The following is a 19,348-nucleotide window of genomic DNA, read 5'->3' as shown; positions in this document are numbered from 1 at the left end:
GTTATGTAAGAGAACCCAAAGTTTTCAATTTGAAGGCATAATAAACTCAAAATATACAATGGACAAGTCTTCATGACAGTCGAGGCATTTTTTAAACTAAAAACATTGGAATATATTTCCTGCACTGAACCACATTCAAAATTCACTTTGAACTATACAAAGTCTATTTATAACATATATGAAATGTAACTTAAAACCACTTTGAAATACAAACTCTCAGTAAAAATGACTAGAGACACAAACTTTTTAAAATTATTATAAATTGTTAGAACTTGAAGAATGCATTATACTTCTATTTGTCTTGACATACTCAGTCTCTCCTTATAGAATCTAATTTCATCCAAACCAAAACTAAAAACTTGAAAACATGTATCCAGTAAGAAAGATATAAAATGCTAACTGCATAATGTAACTGGATGAAATAATTACAGAGCAGTTAAGAAAAAATGAACTGCTGTTTTAATAGGAAAAAAATGTGCATCTTACTTATGCACGTTTTAGGGTAAAATCTTGGTTTTGAAAAAGCAAATCTGGAGCACCCTCTAGTGGAAAACTGTTAACAAAAGCTTAAAGCTTCTGTTTCTGAAATTTAATTCAATTTCCATTAAACAAGTAACTGAGACCTGGGCCAAAAAAGTGTATTACGCAGATTCTTCCTTCCAGTTTCACTCTTAAATACCCCCATCAAAACACACATACGCACACACACAAATACACACAAGGGCACTTTTCAAAGTATAACAGAAAAAGGTTTTTTACACTGTCTGATTGTTTATCAATTTCCAAAAAAAGAATCAAGTAGAACTTGTGAATATAAAATTACAGATGTAATACTACCTTTTTTTCCACTGGCAAATTCTTTTTTATTTATTTTATTTTTTATTTTATTATTATTATTATACTTTAAGTTTTAGGGTACATGTGCACAACGTGCAGGTTTGTTACATATGTATACATGTGCCATGTTGGTGTGCTGCACCCATTAACTCGTCATTTAGCATTATTTTTATATTAAAGAATTCCATTGTAGTTGTAAATGATTACAATCTGGAAAAAAATGGAATCATTTTGGTTGCTTGATTCTTGTGGTTAAAAGATTCAACCAATAAAAAAGAGCTAATGAAAATAACACATGAAAACTTCCAAATTACAATTCTCTCCAAATACACCATAATGTTTTATAAATATCCTCTGCTAAATGAGCAAATCAGCCAAGAATCTGCATGACACTCTGATTATATTCTTTTGGTCTTGGTTATTAAGGAGATTGACTGGCTTTGACACAGACATGACATCACCCATGCAAGTTCTAACAGATGATTTTTCATATGTAATAATTAAAAACTGAATATATGACATTCCAAATTATAAATTAATAGGACCATTATATTAATAGATTATTCTTGATGTATTATGTTAAATTATTATTATCACAATTTGGAGAAATACAAACAAAACAGAAAATGTTTTGAGAGACCAATTTAAAGAGTAACGTAAACATCTGCTTTCTGCAGAAAGCGGAAGAAACTTGAATTATTTAGCCCAGACAGGTTCATGGAAGAGCAGAAGTATTTATTCATCATTAATTCAACACTGATTTATTGAACACTTTAGCTAGGTGGTGTTCAAGGTCCAGAGGCATGGGGGTAACCCCAATGGACAAAGGTTCCTGCTCTCATGGAACTTGCATCCTGAAGGGGAGAAGATGATGATAAGAACTCAACAAGCTCTAGGAGAGCAAGGATTTCTGTCTCTTCTGTTAACTTTGGTATTCCCAGCATCTACTAGCTGTTCAATAAATAGTTGTTGAATTAAACAAAAAAGGTAACTTCAGCTAGTGATAAGTGCTATAAACAATACAGTAATAAGTAGAGAGCATTGGAGGAAGAGGGCAGATATGTTATTACAGATCAAGGAGTTAGAAAGGGCTTCTCTAAAGAGATGCCATTAGAACTTCAACTTAATAACTAAAGTCAGCCCTGCAAAGATCTGAATAAATAACTTTCCAGAAAGAGAAAACAACAAAGGCTCTTGTCTGAGGCAGGAGTGGTTTGACATTCAGACAAATGGCCTGCCTGGACAAGCCACAAGGCCCCAATAAAGGGTTCAGGTTTCATTCAAATTGTTTAGGCAACATATATTGTTTGCTTCAAGTGGGGTCAAAGTAGTAAAAATGAAGACAGTGGGTAACTTCATGATCTATTTTGGAGTTGAGGAGTAGACAAGATTTGCTAATAGGTTCAGTATATGAGATGAGGCCAAGAGACATGTTAAGAATGACTTTGAGGTCTAGAGCTTGAACAACTGGGTAGGTGATGTTGCTATCTATTGAAATGGAAAAATGAGGTGAGAAACAGGTTTTAGGCAGGTAGTAGAGGAAAGGACAACCTTTTACAACTGGCCATATATAATGACAATTTCAAGTAAGCAGTTCGATATTTCAATTTGAAGTTAATGAAATGGACTGAGGTAAAAAGCTGTAAGTCTGGAAGCTGTCTGCATAAAGATAAATACATAGGGCTAAAGAGTTGTCAGGACAAAGGGGACTGAGAATGATTATCCCATAGAACTCCAAGGGGAAAAGCAAATAATTAAAGGTAGATATTAAAGTGAATTAAGCACACTTTGTAAGAGAAAGGACATTTTAACAATCTAACTAGAGCTATACAGTAAGAGACTAAGCTACTTGTATCCATTATTGGCTTTCCATAAAAAGAGGCATTTTCCAGTACAGAAGTGTGGGCAAAATGACCATCTGTAGGATTACTACTAAAGCAATTCTTAAAAGGGAAAGGACTTTCCCTAAATGTTCTTCCAAGGTAACATTTAAAGGAATTTTTAAGACTCTCTGATTTATCTTCAATTACGCAACTCATCTTTTTTTTTTTTTTTTTCTAAGATGGCGTTTTGATCTTGTTGCCTAGTCTGCAGTGCAATGGTGCAATCTCGGCTCACTGCAACCTCCGCCTCCCGGGTTCAAGCGATTCTCCTGCCTCAGCCTCCTGAGTAGTTGGGATTACAGGCATGTACCACCACGCCCGGCAAATTTTGTGTGTTTAGTAGAGACGGGGTTTCTCCATGTTGGTCAGGCTGGTCTCGAACTCCCAACCTCAGGTGATCCACCCGCCTTGGCCTCCCAAAGTGCTGGGATTACGGGCGTGAGCCACCGCGCCAGGCCGCAACTTATCTTGTTAGTACATAGATTCAGGGGTAAAAACCATGGGCATATACAATGTATGTCTACTGGTAGTCATTAATTGTTACCTGTTTTTGTTAGCAAAAGGTTATCCAGGTGCCTGTCTCCAACTCCAAGTATATAGGTGATCACGCAATATCCAGCTGCAGTAACAGTTAAAAAAAATATGTGAAAACAAATGCAAACCAGGTTATACATTCTACTGAATATAAAAGCAGTTTGTGCAACTTTAATATCAATTTGTTTTCTAATGTCTCTGGTTTCTCATCTGAATTCTCAAATATGCAATCTTCATGTCTGTCACTTGAAACTCAAAGTACTATTTAAAAGAGAAAATCTTGTAGAATTCTGTTAAATTACAAAAGTCACTTGCATCAAAACTTAAGTTAGGTTCAGGAGACCTTAAATTATAACATGGGCCTAGCAATTCTAATATCAAATTGGACACAGTTAAAAGTCAACCGTCAATTATCCCATAACTCGTAACCATGTTATCTGTAAGATAACATAAGTAAATGCAGGGTTAAATTGTTTTTTAAGTCTGTGGAAAAATAATCTTGAAATGGAAGCAGATAGAAAACCAAATGCATTCATTTGAGTGGTAAAGACATTTATGAAGTTAACACAATAATCTTCTAAAGCATTAAGAAAAATTACATGATCAAGGCTAAAGGCAAAGACATTGGCTCTAGCTGTATTCTGTTATCTTTTTATTCTAAAAAAAGTCTGGAAATTTAGCATTTATTGAAACTACTTAAACAGAATTTAGCAAATAGCACCCTTTTGGAGTTTGTTTTTTTAACTATGTTTATTTCTACCATTAATAACCTGACAACAAACACAACTTGTAAACATATAAAACTATAGCAATATTTACAAAAACCTGTTTATTTCAGCCCATGTGTAAAAACAAGATGGGACCACCTGTTAATGAACTTATAACCCTGTTCAAATTCAATAAATAATAAAGTTCATTTGACTTAGGTTCTGAAGGCCATTCCAGAAGTCCAAAAGCAACTTAAGCAATGGCATAATTATTGGAAAAATAGTATTAATTAATAATAATCACAGTTACAATGTACTGAAGACTAGGCTCTTAGCTAGGCATATCATATTCATCATTTCTAACCTGTTTAATGATGCCAGTTAAGTAGATAACCATCCTTCAAATGAAAAACTTCAGGCTCCAAGAATTAATAGTATTGTTCAAAGTCACTGGGCTGGGATTTGTGTCCAATGAAATGTAAGCAAATATAGATGCAAGGAAAGCAGTTTTAAGCAAGCGGCTGACTCAGCTAGGAGGTTAGCCCTTTAGGCCTTTTCTCCTTCCTGTCTAGATTGCGACATGATGACTGTAGTTGCAGACCATAAGGAAAAGGGCAAGAGAATCACAGAGAAACACAGAGCCTTCACCTGGTCCTAATCACCTTAAATAGTTAGAACAACAGCAATTTCTTATAACTAGTTTTGTCACAAAAGAGAAAATAAACTCTTATGATTAAATCACTATAGGTACATTATGTTAACTGCAGCTAAATGCAATGATAACATTTAGTGGTCCACTGAGGAGGACTTAAAGGGTATCTAGATGAAGGGAGAATAAACTACAGCCTGATGGTCAAATCTGGTTCCCCTCAGTTTTTGTAAAGTTTATTTGAACACAGTCATACTCATTCATTTACACACTGGTTTAAGCATTACAATGGCAGGGTTGAATGGTTACACAGATCATCTGACTTGAAAAGCCTAAAATATTTACTATCTGCAAAGCTTTAGAGAAAAGTCTTACTCACCCTTGATCTAGAGCATTGCTACACAAAATGTGATCCCACAGACTGGCAGTATCACTATCACTTGAAAGCTTATTAAATATGTAAACTCTTCAGCCTTACTTCAGTCCTACTGAATCAGAATTTTTAGGGGCAGCAGCCACAATTCCATTTTAACAAGCTTTCAAAAATTACTATGCACACCAAAGGTTGAGAAGCCTTCTCTAAACTCTAGTGTATTGATGAACATAAGAATCACCTGAAAATCCTGTTAGAATGAAGATTCTGATCACAGAAGTCGGGTAAGGCCCAAGATTCTGTAATACAAACAAGCTCCCAGGTAAAGTCAATACTGTGGGTCCACAGATCACACTTTAAGTAGCACTGCTCTAAAACTGCCACAATACATGCAATTTCAAAAATGACTACAGACTCCCCATTGAAAAATAACTAAGTGACTTACTGAGGGATATTAAATTTGATATTCCTAAAGAGAAACTAAGTACAATACCCTGAGAACATATGAGAACTTAGTACACTTAGGTTCTCTAACATGTGATTCGTAGAAATCTACCTGCCACTCAAGGGTACTAAACTACCGATAATGTGCATATGAAGACAAGCGAAATTCCTACAATTTTGAAAAATAACATCACTGTACATCAGTGCAGCTGAGTTGTTCAATCCAGACCTACTTACTATTCCCATTTTTAAATTATAAATTACAGTTAGTTTTTGTCACTATTTACTTTGTTTCAAGTTTAGCTATCTCTATAGAATACTGATTCACCTGTGTTGCAACAGTTAATTCTGACCTAAAATTTTCATGTAACTGGATATACATGAATTATGCTTAATCCTAACGATAAAGCAAAATATTTCTATAAACTACTCATCATCAAATTTGAGAGTGCATTTCATTGTTATATGGAAATGCAAAAATAAGTAAGGGTCTTTTGCCCTGGCTCAGTGGATTATGGTCATAAATACGTTGGATGGTCATTCTGATAAACATGTTTAGTCAAGTGAAATATATGTATCAACATATGGCCATATTTAATAGTAAAGATGAAAATTTAGAGTGCTTCAATAGTTTAAAGTGTCAATACTCAGTAGGGCACTTTAAACAAGGCTACATCCTGAAAAATAACAACAAAACATTTGAGGTAAGAATGGGATGATCCTCAGAAACGTTGAGGAGATAACTAATACTCAGAATGATTTAAGATGACCTGAAATAAATTTGCTAGAAAATTTTTAGGGAAATTGATGTTATTCTTTAACTATACAACAATGGAAACACTATTTCTGTCCAAGAAAATCTTGTCAAAACAATGTTGTTAGTTTTTTTATTCCATGTGAGATACAAAACATCTTGAAATTGTTTTTATAAAAAAACTTTGACTTAAAGAAAAATATAAAGACAAATAGACCACTGATCCTATTTCCCTTTACTTAGTAAAGATATGTGTGTATGTGAGAATAAACAGTATTCCCACATTTAGCTGCATGATATACACTTGAGACTTTAGATAATCTGGAAAAGATGTCACCAAAACTATTATCAATTTTTTTCTTACACCCTGCAAAAACATTAAAACATTATTTTCTAAAATGAAAGTTACACAAAAACAGATTATTTTGTCATACAGGAAGCCATACAGAAAACAGAAGGCTCTTCTAGATGAAGAGAAGGCCTACCATTAAATCACTTACAGAGGAATGAATACATGTGAAATGTTGGAAAAAAGGGGAGAGATAAGATATAATGTGAATTTAACTGTCCAATAGGTAAGATAATTTAAATTGCTATTCTTTCCCCATGAAAAAGCCAGTCATATTTTCAGTAGCTCTTGGGGGGAAAATGGACCACTATACAAAAGACACAATGGTACGACATTAAGCATGTACCTGTAACATACCATTCTGATAATTTTACTAATGAGCAGAATTTTCAAATTGTAGTCAATACTGACAGGGCAAGCGTGTGTGTATGTATTTTGTGTGGAAAAAGTATTTCTTTATTAAACAGATTTATGACTTTAAAAGGTTTACAATAACTATGCTATAGTAAAAAGGTAAAAGATAATTATTTGGGGGTATATAAAACACCTCATGTAATAACGTACTAATGGAAATGGCCACAAATTCTGTGACACCCTTTTCATCCAGAGCTTGGATCTATATATATTCCGTCCCCTCAAATCCAGGAAGGCTCTAGGACTGCTCTGAACAACAGAATATAACAAAATATAGTTATACTATAAGCTGATATAGTACCAGCTTCCCAGCCCTGGCCTTCAGAAACTAGTATTTTCCATTTCCTGTCTGTCTGAATATTTGCTCTTGGAACCCAGCTCTAAGAGGCCCAAGCCAGGGACAGGTCATGTGTAGGTGATTCACAATAAGCCTAGCTAAGACAGTATAATCTGCCAATAATGTGAGTGATCCATCTTGGATGTTCAGCCTAGTTGAGCCTTTAGATGATATGCAATTTTTTTTCAGATCACAGAAAACATAGACTTGAAGGTCTGAGAAAAACAGAAGAGAAATGGGGCAAAATAAAGAAGAGAAACAAGAAAGGAGCAAGGGAAGAGAGAGAAACACAGAGTAAGAGGACAAGGGTAAACATTTTCTCTCAAAATCTTCAGTGTTTTTAAGTCTTTAAATACTGCATGTAATCACGTTTACAAACAAATTCAGTTACATGTAATATATGTTTATATTCCTATAGTAAAAACAAGAATTAAAACTATAAAGGACTCTAATTTATAAAACACAATTTTATTTCCATATTCTCAAAGTTCATTTTCTTTCTGCTTTTCAGACAAAAATGTATCATCACGAATAAATTTGAAAATAAGGTCCAAAATAATTTGGAAGGTGACTTCACAGGGGTGTTGTGAAAAACACAAAAATATTATGTATAAGAAAGCAACTTCTAAACCAGAAAATAATATGCAAGTTTAAATATAGTCTTAACAACTAACTAGAAAGCCCTCTTCTTGCTCTCCCAGCTTAAGCATAGGCATAAATAGGGACATAAACAAATATAGCGCTTATATAAAATAGTTATAACACATCATACATCCTGTCATTCAGGGCTCAACTCTAGTGTCAACTCCTTTACCAATCCTCCCATAAACAATCTAGTTATAAAAAAAATCAAAATAAAAAAATAAACATGCTGGGGATGGTGGCTCATGCCTTCAATCTTTGCACTTTGGGAGGCCAAAGCAGGTGGTGATCGTTTGAGCCCAGGAGTTTGAGACCAGCCTGGGAAACATGCCATAACCCTGTTTCTACAAAAAATACAAAAAAATCATCCAAGTGTGGTGGTGCACACCTCCTACAGTCCCAGGTACTCGGCGGGCTGAGGTGGAAGAATCACCTGAGCCTGGGAGGTCCAGGCCGCAGTAAGCTGTGATTGCGCCACTGCACTTCAGCCAGCCCGGGTGACAGAGTGTGATCCTGTCTCCAGGAAAAAAGGAAAAGAAAAGAAAAGAAAAAAATAAAGAAAATGAAAAAAAAAATCCTGTAGAATATAACCTTCGTGAAGTTAGACATAAATGCCTGAAGAATAAAAATTAATCCCTATGTCACTTACTATTTATTTCTAGGAAATACTACTACTGCTTTCTTATTTCTAGGAATGGACCATAAGGACTGACTCTAAAATACCACAAGGGCACCCTCTTAATGAAGCACCATTATCTTAGCTCTTAAACTTTATCTAAAGCACAATCATTTCTGATTGAAACTTTTCCCATGGTCTACTTAGTTTCTGTTATTCAAAAATAGAGAAAATCTAATGGAAAATTAACAGCTTCCAGGAAGAGATAAACTGTGATTATAAAATAGTTCAGTGATTACAAAGATATATCCATGAAAGACTAAATAGAATTTACACCTTGTTAATACTATTATGTCAAAGCATCAATGACTACTTTAATCAACATTTATCTTTTACTCTTCCTATAGAGCATTTAAATATTAACATGTTCTAAATGTATATGATTATGGCAATATCAGGATGGCCTGCTCTTCTTTATCTGATCAATGGAAAGTAATAGCCTGAAAAACTTACCACAGCTTTTAACGTAAGTGTCCATGACCTCAGCACTAATCCCATTTGGCCCATTCTCACTTGGTGCATATTTTCTAAAAAAGTTCTGAAAAGACATTATTTACATGTTTTAGAATTAAGTACAAACAAACAAACTAGGTGTTTTGAAACTATAAATAGTGACCAGCAAGTGTCTAGCATAAAGCTTAATCAAAATACAGTATGAGAGATGCTGACTGAACAAAAGAATTGTAAGAGTGCGATAAATACACTAGAGTTTCCATTAGGGGAAACTGTGTTTAATGTCCCCCACCACCCACCCCAGATTTCCAATTGCACCTATTCTTTTACATTTAGAGGCAAAACAAAAAACAAACAAACAAACAAAACCACAGAGCATATTATCTGAAAATACGATTAACGTACTATTAAAAAATGAGTTTATCCTGGCCAGATGTGGTGGCTCACACCTGTAATTCCAGCACTTTGGGAGGCCGAGGTGGGCAGATCATGAGGTCAAGAGATCAAGAACATCCTGGTCAACATGGTGAAACCCAGTCTCTACTAAAATACAAAAATTAGCGTGGTGGCAGGCACCTGTAGTCCCAGCTGCTCGGGAGGCTGAGGCAGGAGAATTGCTTGAACCTGGGAGGTACAGGTTGCAGTGAGCCGAGATCGCACCACTGCACTCCAGCCTGGCGACAGAGCAAGACTCCGTCTCACAAAAAAAAAAAAAAAGTTTATCCTATGTTTTCACCTTTTTTGAATACCCTGTATTTCTGACAAAGGATTTGCATCTGGAATATATATTTAAAAACTCCTATAAATCAATACAAAAAATACAAACAACGCGACAGGAACATGGGCCACAGGAAGATGTGAACATGCACTTCACAGAAGAAACAAATGGCCTATACATATATTTTTATACATTCAACCTTACAGATAATCAGGGAAATGCAAACCAAAAAGAGGTACGAAGAGTTTGAAGTTTGGCAACACTACGATTTGGCAGACATGTAGCAAGGAGAAACACAAGAAGTGTTACTGTTTTGGAAAACAACTTTTAATTATCGAAAAACAACTTTTCATTATCAAGTAAAGCTGAATGTGATCTATGACCCAGGTAAATCACTTACACAGATCAGATGTGCAGCCAAGAATCAGTATACAAACTGTCACTGTTTTCATTTTATAAAATCGTAATTACACAAAACAATGTAAGTAATGAAAAACTTTATGAAACAATGATGGCAATTAGGGCCCATGTTAAAAACTTTAAGTACACTTCAGGTCCTCTTCAAAACAATCCTGGAGTAATATGGGTTATTACCGAAATTTTACAGATGCAAAAACTGGTGTCTTGAAGGGTATGTTAAACGGGTCCCCAGGACCACTGACAGGTTTGACTTGCTAGAAGGTCTTACAGACTAAACATGTAGTTGTACCATGACTAAGGTTTGTTACAGAGAACGGATACACAGTAGAATCAACATGGAAAACATACACAGAAAAAATCTGGAGAAATTCATACATAGGCATCCTAGCCCTCTCTGTCCTATGAAGACACAGTGAGCTTCTTTTCCAATAGCCAAAAATAAAAAATAAAAAGCAGTAACATGGGTGTAATGTTTCTGACAAGGAAAGCCCATTAGAGACTTAGAACCCAAGGTTTTATCAGGAACTGGTGACCCAGGCAACCTCTGTCAAGCAAGTACAAAATTCCAGACTCCCAGAAGGAAAGTGGATTGTTTAGTATAAAGCATATTATTTGAACAAACAATCTAGGCACAGCGAACCACCCTTATCAATTAGGAAGCAAAGGGAACATGCTGAAAGCCAATGACCAATCTCCTGGCAAGCAGGCCTTTCCAAAGATTGCAACCTTAGGGCTACTATGTTAACTTTTCTCTGCAAAAAGAGTTAACCAGTTCACTCAAGGTTACAGAGCTGGAAAGTTACACAGGTGGAATTCAATCCCAGGCAGTTTGATGTCCTAAGCCTGAGCTTTTAACCACTGCACATGACTGTACCCCAAATCAAAGAACAGAATAAGCACTTGCTTTGCAAAAGAATCAGAGTAATACTTTTCTACAAATCTGACTCCCATACTGAATAAATGGAACAATTAAATAGGGAAAGGCAAAAACACACTGTATCAAACATCATCTACCAAGCCCTTCTGTGTATTATCTTTCATCTCAGGTGTATCCATTTTTGTTTTAATTACATACCTTTTTTTTTTTTTTTACAAAGGGAAGCAGGAAAATTATATTTTAAAAATAACAAAAATAAACCATTAACATGTTATAAGAACTAATCCATGTATTTAAAGGGTAAAAAAAAAAAAAATCCAAACATATACATTACTTTGTCACAGAACCACTCACCTTTTCTCATATTTAAAGGGGAGCAATAGGTTGAAGGGAGAGGATAGGGGGTCTTAAATAATTGTACAAAAGACAGATGAGCAACAATATCATTGTAGCAGTGTTCTGAATAACAAAAACTGGAAATAAAGTGCTCATCAATTAATATCAAATAAATTACAACATTTCCATACTTTGGAATATAATGCAAGTATAAATAAACGTTAACAAATTTTAATTTGTTCACCAATTAACTCTGTTTTTTTGGGGTTTTTTTTGTTTTTTTTTGACACAGAATCTTGCTCTGTCACCCAGGCCGGAGTGCAATGATGTGATCTCAGCTCACTGCAGTCTCCACCTCGCGGGTTCAAGCGATTCTCCTGGCTCAGCCTCCCAAGTAGCTGGGACTACAGGTGCATGCCACCATGCCCGGCTGATTTTTGTGAGTTTAGCAGAGACAGGTTTCACCATGTTGGCCAGGCTGTGTTCACCAATTAATGCCTGATCCCTTGATATGCAATGCACTGTTCAAGGAACTGAGAATCTATGTAACAAATGGAAGAATCTTCAACTGCGAACATGCTTACTTCTGAATAAAGGAAGAAAAAAAACTTGAAGAAAGAAAAATGATAAAAGGAGACTTTCATTTTTAACTCTATGTTATAAAGACTGAATTTTTTATGACAAGAATATATTCATGAATTGCATAATCTTTATTGATACCATACCTGAATGCTTCCCTCTGTATCAAGAACTTCAGCCACAGGAACTGACTGGATAAACTGCATGAAGCCTACACAGAAATGTATGCACTGCATTAAGCATAGCTACTGGTTAAGAAATAAAAATAAAGGTTCTGCTAAGAATAATCCTCATCTCTGAATAAATGCATTCCATATCTGAACAACTTAAAAAGATCAGTGTACACTACATTAAGTTTGTACTGGCATTTATGTCATAGGACCTGTAAGAAAACTTTTTTTTTTTAAATTAAGCTGATTTAGTCTGTATGTTTCTCTAGGCTAATTTCTATTATAAAATATGAGAAACGAAAACTAATAGACTAAGCTTCTTAAATCTAGCATCAAAAATTTCTTCTTTCTATAGATTTACAACATATACCAATTAAAATATTCCAAATTTAAAATCACCGTAAGAAATCTAGAATTGTGGATTACAATTACCTAACCCTAAAAGCTGTATGTAAAACTGTTATGTAATGGCTCCTTTTGTCTAATATTCCATCTTCTGTCATTTCCTGGTAATAACAGATGTGTAAATCCCTTAAACTACCAAAAAAAAAAAAAAAAAAAGGAAAGGGGACAGACAGTATGTGGAAGAAGGAGAAAAAGTCAGTCTGATAAGTCTGAAGACAACAGAAACATAAAACAATGGATATATTAAAAAAAAAAGTTGGATGAAGCAAACAACATTTCAGGATCATAAACTATCATGATCTGGTTCTGGTAAGCCTATAGGATAATAATTTGCATGCACATTAGGAGATTATATACCCCTGTAGAATAAGAAATATCTCATTTATTCTTGCATCATAAATACAGAATAGTTGGCACTAATTCACTTAACAGGTATTTATTGTTTCTTGACCATGTCGGAAGAAATTTGCCAAGTAAGTAAAAATAGATGTTTGACACTGCCTACATGGATCTTAAAGCTTATAAGCTTCACTTGGGTAAATACTATGAATAAAGGGTACTATGAAAGGAAGTAGTGTAAGGAGACCTAACTTACAGTAGGGATCGAAGGACATCTGACATTTGAGCCATGTTTTCAAGGATAATAAAATTAATAGGCCATGGAGCAAAGAATGTTTGAGACAATGATCACAGTGTATGTGAAGGCCTTAGAGCACAATGCATTAGATAAAACAGAAGGTAGCCAGTATGGCTAAAGCCCAGGATGCAGGGGAAGAGTGGCAAAAAGAAGAGGCTTGAAAGATAGACACAGGGTGTGTCACACTATGCAAGCACTTAGAAGCTAGGTAAAGGTTTTTTGGGTCTTTGTCCAAAGAGAAAATGAAAGCTAACAAATGACTTTTTGCAGGATTGTAAAGATGCACATTTGCACTTTTTAAAATATCATTCTGAGAAGAAACTGAGAAGAGTAATTAAGGCATCAAAAAGATTTGGGAGTAGCCAGAGGAAGGATAGGAACCTAAAGCATGTATTTTGTTTCTCAGTAACTACTAGTATAAAGCAGGAAGGGCAGCAAGACTATGGAATTTACAGTAAGCATTAGGCAAGCATTCCTAGGGAATCTTCTACCAAACTCCCAGGGATTATTCATCTCGAAAAGACTTAAATGGTTTGTGTGTGTGAGGGTGTGTGTGTATGTGTATGTGTGTCTACAGGATTGTCAGGAATGTCTGAAATATCCTGTTTCTCAGTAACTACATTAACCAGTAGTTACATTAATCAGTAGTTACTGAGAAACAGGAAAGAAGGAAAGACAGAAGGGAAGCAGGCAGGAAGGTCCAACTTGTCTTCAGTGCTACAAATGGAATTTATTTGTATCTCTAACATACTTAAAAATTTTCAATTTGAAAAAGTACACACAATGTACACTAAAGTAAATAATAATGATGTAAAATACACTTACCATGTTTTGTACTGGTGGCTAACACCTTATAAGGTGTCAATTTCAAGTCCAGATTTTCTTTCCGTAACAGCTTTTAATCAAAAGGTAAAATATATTAACCAAATGTAAAGACTGTTAAAAGACAGTTTTGTGGGCAAATAGTATAGCAGTTTAATGTAATAAAGATTTAGGAAGTTAAGCTAAATTAAGTTTAAATTAGTTAACTTAGGCTGGGCACAGTGGTTCCCCACTGTAATCCCAGCACTTTGGGAGGCCGAGGCGGGTGGATCACCTGAGGTCAGGAGTTCAAGATCAGCCTGGTCAACATGGTGAAACCCTGTCTCTACTAAAAAATACAAAAAATTAGCTGGGCGTGGTGGTGCATGCCTGTAGTCCCAACTACTCGGGAGGCTGAGGCAGGAGAATTGCTTGAACCCAGGGGGCAGAGGTTGCAGTGAGCCAAGATCGCGCCACTTCATTTTAGCCTGTGCAAAAAGCAAAACTCCATCTCAAAAAAAAAAATAGTTAATTTAACTTTGATCATCAAAATTAAATTGATTAAGGACTTAGATGACGGTATGCTAAATTTTTCATCTACTCTAAATCTCTGTCAGCTGTTTTCAATGAACAATAGGGTTGTTGCTATCACTTCATGCAGTCCTTTCTGGCCATAAAGTACTTTAGAGCTCAGAAAAAGGGAACTAGGGCAAGCATGTACTTTTTAATGCCAGGGACAGAGATGGGATTAAAAGGATTTAAAAAAAATTTAATAGACTAAGAGGAAGGAAACTACTAAATCCCTTATTTAGAGAACTTAATTTGGAAAAAAAATTAATGGAACACATACAGTTCCAATTTATACTCAACACAAAAACCATTCTGAAGTATATAAAAGCAACTAAATTTTTTCAAGGTCAAGTGGAGACTGTTGAGCTTTCTAGGATCGTACCTGAATGTTACAAATACTTCTGTTCCATAAACAGCAAATGAACTAAGCCACAGTATTCCAAAACGAAAAAAATGTTCCCCACCAACATAAGGTCATGTTCACCTTGTCCATGAGTGAAATGATTTGAAGAATAAGTTGATCTTGACGTAAATCATCTCCATGCTTAAATATAACTGGATATTTGCCTCCATCTTCCGTCTTAAAAAACAACTGTGCAGGCATAAGGGCACTCTGGAAAATAAAAATATTGATTTCAAATTTGGCCATGAATTAATGCATAAAATTGTACTATACATACAAGAAAATGTTGATATATAAGATAAATACACAGGTAAATAGGACCTAAAAAACAAGTTGGGTTTTCAATGAGATACATTAGGGTATACTGGAAAGAACAGTGAACTAGCTAGTAGTCAGAAGACTACACGATGGAAAGCGCACAAGCTCTGCAATCAGTCATGTGGTTAAAACATTCCAAGCTCTCCCAGGTACTCGCTGGACAGTCTTATGCATATCCTTTAACTTGTTTCCTCATCTGTAAAATAAGATACCATCTCTTCTGCAGAGTTGCTAAGGCAATCAGAAACTATACAGGTCAATAGTCTGGCACCATGCCTAATACAAAGAAGACATTCTTTATATATCTATCATCATTTTTTATTTTTAGAGGTATACTGAAATAAATAAGGTGAAACAGTACAACATAACAATGTACCAGATGCAAAGTGAAGAGCCCTGGTTTTTAATGGCAAGTATACTACAGGTTGAGTATCCCATAACAGAAATGCTTGCAAATGTTTGGGATTTTGGACTTCCCCGGATTTTGGAATATTTGCATATACATAATAAAATATTTTAGGGCTGTGACCCAAGTTTAAACTTGAAATTCAATTATGTTTCACATATACCCTACACACATAAACTGAAAGTAATTTTACACAATATTTTTAGTAATTTTGTGCATGAAACAAAGTTCTGACCGTGTTTTGACTGTAATGCATGACATAAAGTCAGCTGGAGGATTTTCCACTTGCGGCATCATGTCAGCACTCAAAAAGTTTCAGATTTTGGAGCATTTTAGATTTTGGATTTTTGGATTAGAGATGCTCAATCTGTACTAGTTGTGCAGCTTTAAGACTCAAATTCCTCATTTATAAAATGAGAGGAGATCTCAAATATCTGTATCTTTTATTCTGGAATAATATTATGTTTTCCCCACAGTCCTTCCCTTAATTATATGAAGGTCTAAATTAGTTTAGGTATATGTTTAAATCAACAAAAAAAAAATAAAGAAATTATATTCTTTTTAGAAAGGGGGAATCATAAAACCTCACATAAAGTGGCATGCTAAGATGGATATTCTGGACATAAATGGTCAGAAAATTGTTCTGAGAGAGAGAGACCCTATTGAGTTTGGTCATTGAGAAGAAATTATATAAGACAAAAATTTGGAGAAATATATTAATCCAAAGAAAAAAAAATGAGTCAAAGAAATTTAAAAACAAAAACAAAAAAAATGGTAATAACCAAGAGAAATAATGGCCCAAAAAACATCATATAGATGGATGAACAGATGTGACAAAACAAATGGCAAAATGTTGATGACAGAATTAAAGTGGTAGATACACGGTTGTCTACTGTAAAACTCCTTCAACTTTGCTGTATGCTTGAAAACTTTCCTATAAAATGCTGGGGGAAAACAAAAACATGGAAAATGGTTCAGAGAATGTATGTTTAAAACTTACAAACTCTAGTTGGAATAAAATTCTGAATTTTAAATTACCTTAAATTTGGAATATCCTTTTATTTGAAAATGTTATTTTATAAATTACCTTGAGCCCTAGTAATTGGAAGTTATCTTCCTAAAGATAAATGACAGGCAGGAGAATCTTTGTTGTGATTTCTTTTTTGAGATTCAATACGATTTCATCTAATTTAGATTTCATCTGAAATTTAAAGCAAGAAAACAACCACAGGATAACATGCACTTATCCCAGTGCCTTAAGGGGTCCAGTCTTCATGAATATCCAGCTTTGGCTGTTACATTAAGGTCTACAAAATTACTTTTAAAACTACTAGAAATAAGGGTCCCTAGCCTTTTCAGCTCTAAGGAGCTCATACAAGGAAAACAGGAGTCCACAGATCCTCTGCAAGTGTATGCAGAAATTTCAGTGTATGTGTAAGCATACGGGCAATTTTCTGAAGTGCATAATCCATCACTTTCATCAGATTCTCAAAGACATCCATGAGCCAAAGTAGCAACTCCCTACACAGAGACACTCTATATAACTAATATTACGTAGCAACTGCCTCAGAACCATTATTCCTAAACTCTAACTCAAAATTTTTAAGAATGCCCATATACTTAAGAGTTGAAAGAAAAATAATCAAGACTGAATACTGAGGTCAAAAAGATTTCCCATATTTTATTTCATAAGACATAATTATAATTTTTTATAATTGAGTATGAGTCTAGAATCCACCTACCAATAGAGGGAGATATATCTTCTTATAGTCCACTCTTAAAACCCCTGCTGTATGTCTTAGATACTCTTTTGCACCATGGTTGGAAAAAAAATGGTAAAATTACTTTTTTAATTCACTGCTCTTGATGAGTCCTTAGTGTTCAAGAATATTAGAAGCTGGTCTTCTTTGGGAGTTCTAGCCCAAAGGAATGCCAGTTGTTATATGTATATTACCTTGTGCATAGCTTTTTACATTTCAGTCTCCAGTAGACTGCAAGCACAGACTAAAAAAAAAATTGCACTGTATCTCCTATACCAGTATTTTCAAATTGCATATAGTAATACCAGTATTTTTAACTTGCAGGTTGTAATCTGTTAGAGAGTTTTAAAACCAATAGGTTGTAAGCAACATTTAAAAATTAAAGCAACAGAATAATGTTAAAAATAATGGTAACTATCCATCCATAACACCCAGTTAAAGTTAGGGATTGCTTTATGAAACTTATGTTTTAGTCATATGAGCTGGGCTGCAACCCATGACCAAATATGAGGTTGCCTTGAAACACACTTTTTTAAAAAATATGAACTGTTTCCTACTATAATTACACCCGTGTATATACATTAGTTGTTGTTCTATGAGCCCTTTCTTAACTCATGCAAAGTAATATTCAATGCAACTATGCCTTTCTACCACTAGAATCACAAAACATAAAGCACCATGTCTCACAAAGATCTTTCAGTATGATGCTGACAGATAATGATGCTCTGGCCTTTGGTCCTTTGAGCATGATTAGAGAAGGCTGCTGCATCAGCTGTTTCTACCTGAACTGGTGGCCAGTCAATAGAAAAAACACCAAGCCTGGTATGCTACTAAGGACTAAAGAGAATTGCCACGTGAAAATATAAGAAAACACTTAAGGTTCAACAGGAACAGATATCAGACTGAGAAATGTTAAAAAGGTCAACTGGGACTCATATCTAACCATCTGAACTAATGAACTGAATGAATGCATGATACGTTTGCAATCTGCCCTCTAAAAAAATTTACATAAAGAAAAATAGTTACAGCTCTGATTAACAATTAGCTTGAAAAACTAAATATTATGTTGGGTATGGTGGCGCATGCCTGTAATCCCAACACTTTGGGAGGCTGAGGTGGGAAGACTGCTTGAAGCCAGGAGTATGAGACCAGCCTGGATAACAAAGTGAGGACCCATCTCTACAAAAATAAAACAATAAAAAAATTAAATATTAAAAAACAACCCAGAGATATAAAAGTATTTCACATGTTACATAAAAATGCCCATGTACCGGTAACAAAAGAAGATCTTAAATCAAAACACACTGATAAATAAAAGGTACCCTTCAATCTAGCATTTACTAAATCAACTAGAATTATAGATGTGATCTCTGCAATGTAATAGTTTTCCAAGGTAGTATCTCTGATCTAGCTTAAGAATTAGGTTCCAATCATACACATTAAATATCCATCACAATTACTTTAAACAGTGTAGCTGTTTCCGGAATTATTCCTCTAATTTTCACTTGGGGTTCTAAAGGCAACGGGATAAGTTCCACATCTGACAAATTCATCTTTTCATTATCTCCAAGCAATGCCTGTAGTCTCTCATTCTAGAACAAATCAGAAAGGATTAATGAGGTTAAAATAGAAGAGTAGTTTATAAAACATATAGTAAAGACATAAAAATTGATTCCATTAACTTAAAAGTATTTGCAAAGCACCAAAATAATATAAAGGAGATGGTGTTGTATGTGAGAGACAAGCACTTATAAATAATCCCTAACAACAGCAGCAGCATGCTTTAAACCAAACAATCGCTTGACTGTGAAAGTTGGACTTTTCACAGGAAGGATACAGAATACATTTCACTTGCTAAAGCTGACAAAGAATCAGGAATTTATTCAAGTTGGACCT

The 19,348-nt window shown here is 34.8% G+C and overlaps 1 protein-coding gene across 4 annotated transcripts in view; it reads right to left on the bottom strand.

Annotated features, from left to right (window-relative positions):
- Nucleotides 1-19,348, bottom strand: part of PIK3C3 (phosphatidylinositol 3-kinase catalytic subunit type 3) — a 132,597-nt gene that overhangs the window by 34,961 nt on the left and 78,288 nt on the right. For all 4 annotated transcript variants that reach the window (NM_002647.4, NM_001308020.2, XM_047437549.1 and 1 more), the window contains 6 exons: nt 18,913-19,044; nt 15,050-15,178; nt 14,020-14,089; nt 12,129-12,193; nt 9,053-9,137; nt 3,265-3,339 (listed from right to left, as the gene is read on the bottom strand). In NM_002647.4, the coding sequence (NP_002638.2) occupies nt 3,265-3,339; nt 9,053-9,137; nt 12,129-12,193; nt 14,020-14,089; nt 15,050-15,178; nt 18,913-19,044 (556 nt within the window). The remainder of the gene's footprint in view (nt 1-3,264; nt 3,340-9,052; nt 9,138-12,128; nt 12,194-14,019; nt 14,090-15,049; nt 15,179-18,912; nt 19,045-19,348) is intronic.

This window comes from Homo sapiens, chromosome 18, assembly GCF_000001405.40.
Source record: "Homo sapiens chromosome 18, GRCh38.p14 Primary Assembly".
NCBI classification, from domain to species: Eukaryota; Metazoa; Chordata; class Mammalia; order Primates; family Hominidae; genus Homo; species Homo sapiens.
Note: the sequence above shows the minus strand (reverse complement) of the source record. Positions and strands in the feature narration are given on the sequence as shown.